We start from the raw sequence: 13,373 nt of genomic DNA on the forward strand, positions 1-13,373 counted from the left end.
ATAAAACTTTAAAGAGATCTTTGTAAATCACAGTGTGTTTGCTTATAAACAAATCAAATCAATTAATCTTCATTTCTTCAAAGTGTCAAAAACAACAGAGTAGCTGGACATTACTTTTTCTAATCAGTTTCAGAGAAAATACAGGAATAATGATCAATGGCATTTTGGAGCAGATAAAACTGCTGAGTTTTATGTTTGGGTCTTTCATTCTGTGATTTGCTATAATAGTATTCCTTCCTATTAGCTGTTCTTGACAATATTAGTTCTATATTCATTTGAAATGAGCATTTATATTAAACTCCAAAATTACCTCTGGTAGTATCCAGAATATATGTCAGAAACCCCTAAAAGCAACTTCTGTTTTCCTCTTAATTAAGATAACATTTAGTCATGTTAATAACTATTCAAACAACAACTTCAGATTTTCAAGACCAGTAGGATGCCTTGCAGTAAGCATGCATAGGCTGGTGCACCTGGCCAAGTTATAATGCAGTTATCAATAGTTAGTTCTTCTTGGTTTTTTTCAAATAGCGATCCCGTGTAGACTTTTCATAGCCATGATTATTTTAAAATAAATCCAAGACGGCAGGATTGAGATTATCAAGCCCATAAGAGCATAGATCAGGTATCCATTGGTTTGGGATTGCAGGCCTACTGTTTTAATTGCAGACTTCAAAATGTCCCCGAAGAGGGCTTATCCAAAGTTGGCTTTCGGATTTTAGCCAGTTTTATAGCTACGAAGTATGGCAGGACACTCTGCACAAAGATGCCCTTGCTCCTATACTCCCCATGGAGGCACTGAGAGAAGAAATCAACAAAAGTCTTGGTTGCAGAACAGATCGTCAACAGTGGGACGGGGAACATGCCTCTGCCAGCGGAGAGGTTCAGATTCACCCCTTTAGATCTTTCCATCAAGCCAGGTGCACCAACTGTGTCATCTTACAAACAGAGAGAATATTAATATTTATCATTTTCTTGATCATATTGTCCAAGTCAGGAATGTCCAAAAAGTATTTGGGATACTCATATGACATTCCCACGTTGTTCACTAAGACGCCGATTTCAAGACCAGCCAAGCCTGTTTTAATTTTATCATAAATATCTTCTGATGCAGTCAACAGCAATGGTTCTTGTCTCCACTTTGAAGTTTTCTTTTATTTCCCTGGAAACCTGGTCAAGTTTATCCTGTAATCTGCTGATAAGGACAACCGCCATTTCATGTTTTGCTAACTCTTCTGCATACGATTTTCCAGTTCCATCAGTACTACCTGATGTGCCCATTCCCCAAGCCCTGGGCGGACCTCCGACTCGTTCCCCACTCCCCAGACCCAGAGGGCCCTGAAGAGCGAGTAGCAGATGCGCAGAGCTAGGTAGGCCACGGTGCCTGCAGTGCCTGCGCCTACCCAGTACAGGAAGCTGGCAGCGGGGAGAGCACTCTCTATGGCTTTCCATTAGGGCTCACTACCTTCGTGAATCTAAACAACTTACTTCTAAATAAACCATGGATAAAAGCAAAAATCATGAGAAGAAATCTAAGGAGAAAATTAGAAAATACTTTAAACTCTGATAATAAAGATACAACATATGAAAATGTGTGGGATGCAGGTAAGGTGGTCCTTAGAGGAAAATTTATAGGTTTAAATACTTGTATTTGAAAACAAAAAAGTTTAAAATTAATCTAAGTTTTTATCTTAAGAATCTAGAATAAGATGAGCAAATTAAACCCAAAGAAAATAGACGGGAAGTACTTATAAAGATAAAAGGTATAAATAAAATAGAAAACACACAATAGCTTAAACTAACAAAGCAAAAGTTGTTTTTCTCAAAAAAAAATTAATGAAATGGATAAACCTCAGCAAGAGTGACTGAGAAAAATTGATCATTCGGACATTAAATAGATAATAACAAGACTATGAACAACTTAAACTAAATAGAAAAATTCCTTGAAAAACATAGCTTACCAAAACAGACCCAAGATGAAAGAGAAAATAAGAATAGCTCTGTATCTTTTAAATAAATTGAATTTTCTATCATCAACTTCTTCTCAAATAGAATTCCAGAAGCAAATGAATTGACTGGTGAACTTTACCAAACACTTAAGAAAGAAATATCAATTTTACAAAAACCATTTCAAAAACATAGATGAGGAAACAATTTCCATCCCATGTCATGAGGCAGGAGAATCCTGAAGCCAATACCTGACAAAGACATGACAATAAAAAGAAAAGAAAAAATATATCATTAACCAGTTACCTTCATGAACGTAAATGTATTTTTTTCATACAATGTTAGCAATTCAAATCCAGCAATATATGAAAAGGACAATATATGTTGATCAAATAAGGATTTTCTCAGAAATGTAAAAGTTTATTTATTTACTTTTTGAGAGGGTCTCTCTCTGTCACCAGGCTGGAGTGCAGTGGCATGATCTCTGCTCACTGCAACCTCCACCTCCTGGGTTCAAGCAATTCTCCTGTCTTAGCCTCCTGAGTAGCTGGGATTACAGGCACACGCCACCACGCTTGGCTAATTTTTGTATTTTTAGTTGAGACGGGGTTTCGCCATGTTGCCCAGGCTGGTCTCGAACACCTGAATTCAGGTGATCCACCAGCCTCGCCCTCCCAAAGTGCTGGGATTACAGGTGTGAACTACCACGCCTGGCCCTAAAGGTTTTTTTTAGCATCCAATTATTAAGCAATGTAATTTATCATATTAGTAAAATAAAGGAGAAAACTATGTCAATAAGCGCAGGAAGAACATATGACAAAATTCAACACCCCAACATATAAAAACTCTCAGCAAACAAGAAATAGAAGAAAATTTTTTCAACCTGATAAAGGGCATCTAGAGAGGTACCGAAAGGTAACATTATACTTAATGATAAAATATCTGATGCTTTCACCCTAAGACTGGGAATATGTAAGGATGTCATCATAAATTTGTTTAATATAGTTGCTGCCTTGGCATCCATTTTTAGGCCTAATGTAAGTTGTTTACAACCAAGTCATAGCCCATCACCTTTGCCCTAGTTAAAACTACCCCCCGGCCCCGCCTAGTTGTTTTTGCTATAGCCCACTTGCTTTTCATCCCACTAACTCAAAACCCCATACACCCCACAGCTGCTACCACTGTAAAACTGAATCATCAATACCAGAGTCATGGAAGCAAGTTCTCCAATCTGTATTTTCATTAAACTATCCAGTCCACAAACCTAGGAGATAGTGCCCACGGACCTTAATGAAGACATAGTCCCAGAAGTCCCTCCCCACCCCCGACCCGCCCACTGGATGAACTCCTCAAAGCCTCCAGACTCCCCACTGGCCTCCTGCAGGCACCCTTAACCTCTCTGGGACCTATGAGCAATACATTTCTTTGGTTTCATGCATCTTGGTTTTATTTCCTCATCATATCTCACCTGACTGATACACAGGAACCTAACTTTTCCCTCAGTTAGAGTTCTCCTAGAGAGGGGTTATCTTGCCCTACGGGCACTCTTGAGATGGGACTTGGCTGTAGAGGTGGGGCTCAGACACCAAACCCGACTGAGGACTAGCTAAAAGCAGGGGACAGCCAGACACATTGTCTCACGCCTGTAATCCCAGTACTTTGGGAGGCTGAGGCGAGTGGATCACCTGAGGTCCGGAGTTCGAGACCAGCCTGGCCAACATGGCGAAACCCTGTCTCTAATAAAAATACAAAAATTAGCCTGGCATGGTGGCGGGAGCCTGTAATCCCAGCTACTCTGGAGGCTGAGACAGGAGAATCACTTGAACCCGGGAGGCGGAGATTGCAGTGAGCCAAGATCGTGCCACTGCACTCCAGCCGGGGGCGATAGAGCGAGACTCTATCTCATAAATAAATAAATGCATAAAAGAGGGAGCAAAATCAGCTTTCAATCAGACATGCCTGCCAGTGTGCCATGTCACTTTACCGTTGTCATGGCAACATCTGGGCATTACTGCCCCTTTTTATGGCAATGACGCAATGACCCAAAAGTTGCAGCTCCTTCCCTAGAAATTTCTGCATAGACCACCCTTTAATCTGCATGTAATTAAAAGTGGGTATAAATATGATTGCAGACCTGCCCAGAGCTGCTGCCCTCTGCCTTTGGGGTGGCCCTGCTCTGCAGGAGCCATTGCGGAGCTGCAACACTGCTGCTTCAATAAAGCTGTTTCCTTCTACCTCTGGCAGGTCCTTGAATTCTTTCCTGGGCAAAGCCAAGAACCCAGCAGGCCATGTTCCACTTTGGGGCTTGCCTGCCCTGCATCACTCTCGAGAGACCTCAAGACGAAATTAGAAAGAAACCATAACAATAGAAACCACAACAATAGAAACCACAACAGATGTCTACTATTTTACTTTCTTCATTGTTCAACACAAAAAAAGGAAGAACTGTAAAATAAGTATTTAATGCTATTTGCTGGTCTGCTTTTTTGTGGTGGCATGGACTAGTAATTCGGAAACCTTTTTGTCTTCTAGGCTTGAGGATATGAGTAAATGTATTGAGGATCATGGGAGGAAGAAGCTACAGATGTGAAAAGTGGGAAGGATGGACTATAGATGCAGTTTTAAATTGGAATTATAGGTTATCAGCTTGAACACACGGTGTTTTAACATTGAAGAAAGTAAACATCTATACATATGTGTGTCTATGTTTTTTTAAAGATAGAAACAGAGATGAACAAACACATATATATTTTCCACTGAAAGGAACTTAGGGACCCTTGGAGAAATGACAGATTGCAGGGCTGGAAAGACAAAGTACATGATGAGGCTGGAACATTTGACTAAATCAGATAGAAGAGAGGCAACCATTCAATGAATGTCAAATTCAATAGGGGCGGCCGGACGCTATGGCTCACACCTGTAATCCCAGCACTTTGGGAGGCCTAGGTGGGTGGATCACCTGAAGTCAGGAGTTTGAGACCAATCTGGCTACCATGGTAAATCCCTGTCTCTACTAAAAATAGAAAAATTAGCTGGGCGTAGTGGTAGGTGCCTGTAGTCCCAGCTACTCAGGAGGCTGAGGCACAAGAATCGCTTGAACCCGGGAGGCAGAGGTTGCAGTGAGCCAAGATCTCCCCACTGCACTCCAGCCTGGGCGATAGAGTGAGCCTCCATCTCAAAAAAAAAAAAAAAAAAAGAAAAGAAAAAAATTACATAGGGGTTAGCTTAAGGAGCTAATTCTAGCCACCTCTAGAATAATTTGAACATCAAAATAACTATCAGTAAGAATAGATTTTAACCCATTGAATAAAATAAGTATCTGGAAGGCCATGCTGATATAAATACACCAGTTTGTATAGCATGAATGGTACATAAATGGGGAGAAGGGAAAATGCTTCCTTGCCATAAAATGCCAGGAAAGAGAGAAGGAGAGAAGAAAAGGGGGGGGGGGAGGGGAGAGGGAGGGAAGGAAGAAGGAAGGAAGGGAAAAAATTAGAAATTATTGGGTGAAAGTTTGATGAAGAACAAAATATTTACACAATCTCTGCCTTTGTAATTATTATTATTATTCTGAGATGGTGTTTTGCTCTGTCACCCAGGCTGGAGTGCAGTGGCATGATCACAGCTTACTGCAACCTCTGCATCCTGGGCTCAAGCATCCTCCCTGCTAAGCCTCCTGAGTAGCTGGGATTACAGGCACGCACCACCATGCCTGGCTAATTTTTCTATTTTTTTGTGTAGATACGAGGTTTTGCCACGTTGCCCAGGCTGGTTGGTCTCAAACTCCTGAGCTCAAGTGACCCACCCACCTCAGCCTCCTAAAATGCTAGGATTACAGGCATGAGCCACCGCGCCCAGCCACTATCTTTGTAACTGTTAATTACAATGGAAAAATGGAACTTTATATTGGAAAAACCTGGTGGAACCACCTTACCCTAACGATCAAAACGAACATCATTAATATCGGGACCACCAGCATCGTGTGCCTTTTGATATGGTACTGAGAAAGACACAGCATTACTGCATTGGTCCTCCTATCAAAAATGCATAACCTGATTTCTGTCCCCAAGGCATCCAAATGAGCTAAATAAAAAGGTGGAGAAAAGTCCTAGCTTATTAGGAAAAAAAGTATATCTGTGTCATCCCAGAAAAGATGTAAGATAAAGTATAAGTTACTATGTTACTTATGTTTTGAAATAATTTTAAACCCAGAAATGAGTCTGTATTAGAATTAAAATGTCTCTTAAGGTGAAATATTATAGAAACAACAGAAAGTTATAAAAATGAGAAGTTTTAGAAAATGTATTTGCACTCTTTATCTTACTGAATTATCTATAATCAGGAATAATCTTAATATTTTTATACACAAACTGAAAGAATCCTCAGATTTTATTAATGTAAAGTTATCCAGATGTTCGTAGGAAAACAAAGACACACACATTTTTTCCCCTGAATGTAGCAATCAGGCTATTGGCCCCCTGAAGAAATCCTTGTGAGTAAGTAGACACTCTCATAGATATCTCAATTACTTTTAGGAAGAAAACAATATTAAATAGTGAAAATTGCTAAGTGAGAAAAAGGAAAATCATAATACATTTAACACCTGCATATGAATTGACTATTCACAAGGCAGTTTCATATATATTTTTTTAATCTCACAAACAACATTTGAGGTAGGTGGTTTCAGTTGTTCGTTCCAATGAGGTTTTTATTCCACAGAAATGCCAACAAGGATGCCAAGATGAAAAAATCACTTGAGGCCAGGAGTTTGAGAACAGCCTGGTCAACATAGTGAGACCCCCATCTCTACAAAAAATAATAGTAATTAGCTGGATGTGGTGGAATGCACCTGTAGTCCCAGCTACTTGAGAGGCTGAGGTTGGAGATCGCTCAAGCCCTGGAATTTGAGGTTACAGTGAGTTATGATAATGCCACTGCACTCCAGCATGAGCAACAGAGTGAGACCATATCTCTTAAAAACACACACACAAAGGATGCCCAGTAAAGTTTGTGCTTGGATCTGGTTTCCATGTATTTGGAAAATAAATAAACGTGAAACGAATTGTTTTTTTGACTAGCTTTAGTTTAGAAATCGCAATAGACATTTCTCAAAATCCATTCTTTACAGAGAAGACCAGAAACTTTTGAAATCCAATTTAGATTCTTTCTGATTAAGCAACATTGTTAGTAGAGAGAAGCATTTCTTTGTTTTGCTCATGTCCTTTGAAGAGTAAATAACTGCTGACTGTCCAGATGTAGGTGTTAGGAAAATCAGTGCTGAGCTCTGGCCTTTGGAGCCAGACCTGCAGAACTCAGAGGCTCACCCTGTGGTGTTTTCCCTGCTGGGCCTGATCTTAGGATAGTAAAATTGTTTCTCATTGCTCAAGGAAGCTTCTCGTTTTACCATCATATTTACTGTTCTGTGGCACATTTTACAATTAATCAACAAAATTGTTTTGGTGACTTTGTATCTCTTCATAATTTCTGCTTCCTTAAAACGGAGTGCATCTTATTTTGTTTCTCAGTTTAAAAATGTCTGTATTTTGCGTCAATTTTGGCCTGGGCTGGCGGCACACTCTCTAGACTTCAGCAGCACCAGCAGCTGGAAACAGCATAGGTGTGATTCTTCAAAAGTGCTGTCATCATTGAGTGAGGAGCTGAGGTCCAGGAAGAGCAGGCCAGGCTGGAGCAGGTATCTTGTAGTTTTATCAGTGCAGCCCCAAGGTAGTGTCTTGGCCTCAGGGAGGCCACCACGGCCTGCGTTGGACAGCCGAAACCTGGTTTACGCCCTCTCCTGAATTTGATTGTGAAGAAACATCAGACAAACCCCAATCGAGAGATATTCTACAAAATAAAGGACGCCACTCTTCCAAAATGTCAAGATCAAGAAGCTCAAAGAAAGGAGGTAGGACTGTCCCATGTGAAAGGAGATATAAAAGGTTTAACAACTGAGTGTGATGGACTGGATCCTGAATTGGGAAAAATTAACCATATAGGACACTATTAAGACAACTGAAGAAACTGTAATATGGGCTGCATGTATGTGTGTGTATACGTTTGCCTATAATTATGAGTCTGGAGAAGGCTATACAACATGTTATTAACATTGATTACCCGAGGGAAGGGTGGGGATGGGAAATTAAGAGAAAAATACTACAATTTTTTTTTAAAGCACACAGGATGAAAGTAGCATGTATGATATGATTCCATTTTTGTTAAATGATATGGATATAAGTGTGTATGTATGCATAAAATGAATTATACAAAGATGGTCAACAAATCATTAACCATTGTTTTCCAAGGTGATGGGAATTTGAACTTTTACATTCTTCGTATTTGTTTTTATTTATTTATTTATTTTTGAGACGGAGTCTCGCTCTGTCGCCCAGGCTGGAGTGCAGTGGCGTGATCTTGGCTCACTGCAAGCTCAGCCTCCCAGGTTCATGCCATTCTCCTGCCTCAGCCTCCCGAGTAGCTGGGACTACAGGCGCCCGCCACCACGCCCGGCTAATTTTTTCTATTTTTTGTAGAGACGGGGTTTCACCGTGTTAGCCAGGATGGTCTCGATGTCCTGACCTTGTGATCCACCTGCCTTGGCCTCCCAAAGTGCTGGGATTACAGGGGTGAGCCACATTCTGCATATTTTTGTGTAGTATAATTTTTTTCAATGCACAAGTATTATTTTTATAAACATACTAAAAAGTAATATTTTTGTGTCACAAAAGCAAGAAAAAGTCACTCAGGGAACAACTATAAGAAAGTTTTGAGGCCGGGCGCGGTGGCTCATGCCTATAATCCCAGCACTTTGGGAGGCCGAGGCAGGCAGATCACGAGGTCAGGAGATGTAGACCATTCTGGCTAACACAGTGAAATCCCGTCTCTATTAAAAATACACAAAAAAAAAAAAATTGGCTGGGCGTGGTGGCAGTCGCCTGTAGTCCCAGCTACTCGGGAGGCTGAGGCAGGAGAATGGGGTGAATCCGGGAGGCGGAGCTTGCAGTGAGCCAAAATCCGCCACTGCACTCCATCCTGGGCGACAGAGCGAAACTCCGTCTCAAAAAAAAAAAAAAAAAGAAAGAAAGTTTTGAGGCGAGGCACGGTGGCTCACGCCTGTAATCCCAGCACTTTGGGAAGCCAAGGAGGGCAGATCACCTGAGGTTGGGAGTTCGAGACCAGCACGACTAACATGGAGAAACCCCGTCTCTACTAAAAATACAAAATTAGCCGGGCATGGTGGCGCGCGCCTGTAATCCCAGCCATTGCACTCCAGCCTGGGCGACAGAGCCAGACGCTGTCTCAAAAAAAAAAAAAAAAAAGTTTTGAATTAAAGTTTTTCTGCTTCAAACTAATATTTTCTTGTAGTGCTGAGTTTATTATTATATTTTAAGCACCTTACATATTTCAACACAAGATGTTCCCAGCTGTGCTGAGCACATGCTAAAGTGGGAGCTGACTCTCTGGGTTGGAAGAAATTAAGGTGTCTGATTTTCTGAAGAATCTTGTTTGGTATAGAAGCTTCAGCAGTTACTTCCAGCCATCCTAGAACTCTCTCATGACATCCCTTCTGGCGATTTCGGAGTTCTCCTAGGACTGTGACACTTTGACCTGTATGTACCTTGACCACGTGAACAGCACACTCATTTTTGGCCCTGAAAGGTATATAAATCATGTCCTGTCCTGGAATCTGAATGTCTTCCCTTTTCACAGTGGATAAGGCTATACTTCCTCTTGGCTTCTTGAAGGTATGCTGAGAACTAATGAGATGGGTTTGTGGAATGCTTTGAGCTGCTGACATGAAAAGAACAATGCTCTAGCTTTGTGAATAACATAACCCCTATTGTCAGTGAATCCACTGAGTCAGATGAGGACAGGGAGAGACCTACTAGAATCAAAGATACTAACAAACCAGGGAGGGCCAGCTCGTTGCTGTAATTGCTGATGGCAGTGACAACTGAGGAGAGTGATGAAAACGTAAAGAAGGTAGAGTAATGCTCCCAGAAGGAGGTCTCGACTAATAACAGATGGGGAATTGGTGAATAAACTTCAGCTTTCTTGCCCCTCAGTTGGGATAACTCTGGCAGGTTGCACACCTCGGGCCTCCCAGAGTCCCCTAGAGCAGGGATCCCCAAACCCCAGAGACACGGACCAGTACTGGTCCACGGCCTGTTAGGAACCGGGCTGCGCAGCAGGAGGTGAGCAGTGGACAAGTGAGCGAAGCTTCATCTGTATTTACAGCCCTCCCCGTCGCTCGCATTACTGCCTGAGCTCCATCTCCTGTCAGATTAGCATTAGATTCTCATAGGAGTGTGAACCCTGTTGTGAACTGAGCATGTGAGGGACCTAGGTTGCATGCTCATTATGAGACTCTAATGCTTGATGATCTGTCACTACCTCCCATCACCCCCACTGGGGCCGTCTAATTGCAGGAAAACAGCTCAGACTCCCACTGATTCTACCTTATGGTGAGTTGTATAATTACTTCTTTATATATTATAATGTAATACTAATAATAGAAATAAAGTACACAATCAATGTAATGCACTTGACTCATCCCAAAACCATGCCCCCATCCCCTCACCCTCCAGTTCGTGGAAAAATTGTTTTCCACAAAACTGGTCCTTGGTGCCAAAAAAGTTGGGGACCACTGCCCTAGAGGGTCCGATTTCGGTGGCCCACCATGGTAGCTTGCTCGATAGCGCATGCTTTATTGGTTTCTTTTCCCTCCCTATCTCACTTCCTCACTCTTCTGCTGGTGTTTTCTGCAATCCCCTCCCAAATAAACTAATTGTGCTTGGATCCCTGTCAGTTCTACTCCAGCTAGAAACATCATGCACTTTCCCAATAATTTACTTTTCTGTACCCATCCCCATTTCCCTGAGAGACTAACCCTTTCATATTCTTCCTGTCCAAACTGTCAAGGTCAGAGGTGCACTTTGCTACAGGCTGGGCCTGAGATTTCTCTTCACTCTGAAATCAAGATGATTTCTCTATTCCACTCAGTTGTTGGTTCATCAGACCGCGTGCTCTTTCCATTGTGTGGGGGATATAGGAAAGCTTGAGTCAGACATTCATACCTGGCCTAGAATCTTGACTCTATTACTTACTTACTGCAAAACCCTGGGCAAATCACCTAACTTCTCTGATCTTCAGTTTCCTCCTCTGTGAAATAAAGATAATAATCCCTGCCTCATCAGGTTGTCCTCCGGATTTAATGATCTAAATGTATAAAGAACCAGGAGATTGACTAATACAAAAATACTCTGGAGAAAAGATCATTATTTTTATAATATCGTTCTCTTGTATTATTGAATTTCTCATGTGCCTCCATCTTGTTTCCCAACCTTAACTGTAGTTTCTCTGCCGCATTTACCTTCATCATACTGACCTGCACGTGACAAGCACTAAACATTATCAATTTTCTAAAGCTTTAAAGTGCTAAAAGAAAAACTTCAGCTGAATTCAATTTAAAATAGTTTAACTGAGCAAAGAATGATTCATGAATTGGGCAGCCTCCTGAGCCAGGGTAGCCTCAAAGACTGCAGTGCAGTCGCGTGGTGGAAGAGAATTTATGGACAGAAAAAAGAAAGTGACGTACAGAAAGCGGAAATGAGGTACGGAAACAGCCAGATGGTTACAGCTCAGCATTTGTCTTATTTGAACATGGTTTGAACAGCTGGCCACAATTGAGTGGCCAAAACTCAGTAATTGACACCCGAGTAGATCACACTCTGTTTACACTTCCATTTAGGCTACAGTTCAGTGTACAGAGAAACCTTTAGGCCAAACTTAAAATATGTAAAGAGGCAGTATTAGGCTAAACCCCATTTAGCAAAAGTAGATCATGCACTCTTTCAATTCAATTCAAGACTCATTTTTGGATTATTTGTTATTGGCGAGGCATTCTCAAGGAATTTTTAGCAGGTCTTTTGACTTTTCAGTGTCCTTGTTTGAGAAATACAAGTTTTGGTCTCTAATTCTAGATACGCTGACGTCCCTCTAGCATTAAAGTTTGGAATCTATACATTCCTGGAGGGCAAGGACGGTGATTTTTCTTTCAGACCCCTCAACACTTACACCGATGGTGGGTACAGAGTGTGGCATACAGAATTGATGCTGGTGCACACAGAATGAATTCCTGTTCCTTTTTCCCTCTCTCCCTGGCCCTCGCTCCACTCCAGCCAGACTGGTTTTTCTTTGTACCCCTAGAATTTTCCAGGTTGTTCTGCCTTGAGGACTTGGTACTTGCCCCTTCCCATCATTCGATTCTCTGCCCGACCCCAGTCTCTCCATCCCATAACCCTGCTTTGTTTTTTCGTTCTTGTAATTACTCTCTGAAATTGTCTTACTAGTCATTTATTTATTTGTTTATTCTCTCCACCTCTCCCCCAGTCCCCAAATATAAGCTTCTATCTTGGATCTTTTTGTATCACTGCTGCTAAAACAGTACTTAGCACAATCTAGGCCCTGAAATAGATAACTGTAAAATAAATGAATAAACTCTACCATCCCTTATACAGTAGGTTTTACAGTCATCCCTCAGTATCCTCAGGAGATTGGTTCCAGGATCACCTGCGTATACCTGAATCTGCACATATTCAGGTCCTTAAACAGGCTCCACAGAACCTGCATATAGGAAGAGTGGGCCTTTGCCCTCTGAATACTCGCATTTCCCATCCCACGGATGCTGTATTTTCCATCTGCATTTGGTTGAAAAAAATCCGTGTCTAAGGGCATCCACGCTGTTCAAACCCATATTGTTCAAGATCAACTGTAGCTGGTGAGGTGAACTCTGCAGCTATCACACACCAGGTTCTAGTGAACGCTCTTAGGGGAGGGTAACCCATACAAGTGAATTAACCGCAGAGGTCTTAGTACACATGGAGTGGGAAGAAAAAAGTTATCCCCTGGAAGACAACTACAGACAATTGTATCAGCTATTTAGAAATCATATCAGCATATCTTATTTGCTGTGGAAACTTTAGGTAACATTTTAAAACGAATTCATTTCTTTTTATTATGGAAAATGTCAAACATAAACATGAGTAGATGTGGTAGGTAAGAAAAGCATAATGGACTCTCATGTACACTGTGGTGGATGCACTCCGGGGTGTCCCTCACCCTAGGGTTCATGCCCTGTGTACTCCTCTCCCTTTGAGTGTGTGCAAAACATGCTTTCTGGCCAACAGAATGTTCACATTTGAAGTTGCCCCCGTGGGATTGCTTTATGTTATATAAAATTCTGTCTTGCTGGAGACTCACTCTGGGGACTCTCCTTGCAGGCCTGACAAAATAAGTGGCTGTGCTCGGAAAGCCCAAGTGACAATGAAGTCCAGGTAACCTCTAGGAATTGCAGGTTCCCTCTTGGAGCTGAGGACAGTCTCCAGTCTCCAGCCAGCAAGAAGCCAGGGCCCTCGGTCCTACTGCTG

General features: G+C 41.7%; 2 pseudogenes; both read right to left on the minus strand.

Annotated features, from left to right (window-relative positions):
• Positions 1-306: 306 nt before the first annotated feature.
• Positions 307-1,480, minus strand: HSD17B12P1 (HSD17B12 pseudogene 1; annotated as a pseudogene).
• On the minus strand, positions 7,073-7,689 carry LOC100420839 (ribonuclease MRP subunit p24 pseudogene; annotated as a pseudogene).

This window comes from Homo sapiens, chromosome 6 (genome assembly GCF_000001405.40).
Source record: "Homo sapiens chromosome 6, GRCh38.p14 Primary Assembly".
Taxonomy (NCBI): domain Eukaryota; kingdom Metazoa; phylum Chordata; class Mammalia; order Primates; family Hominidae; genus Homo; species Homo sapiens.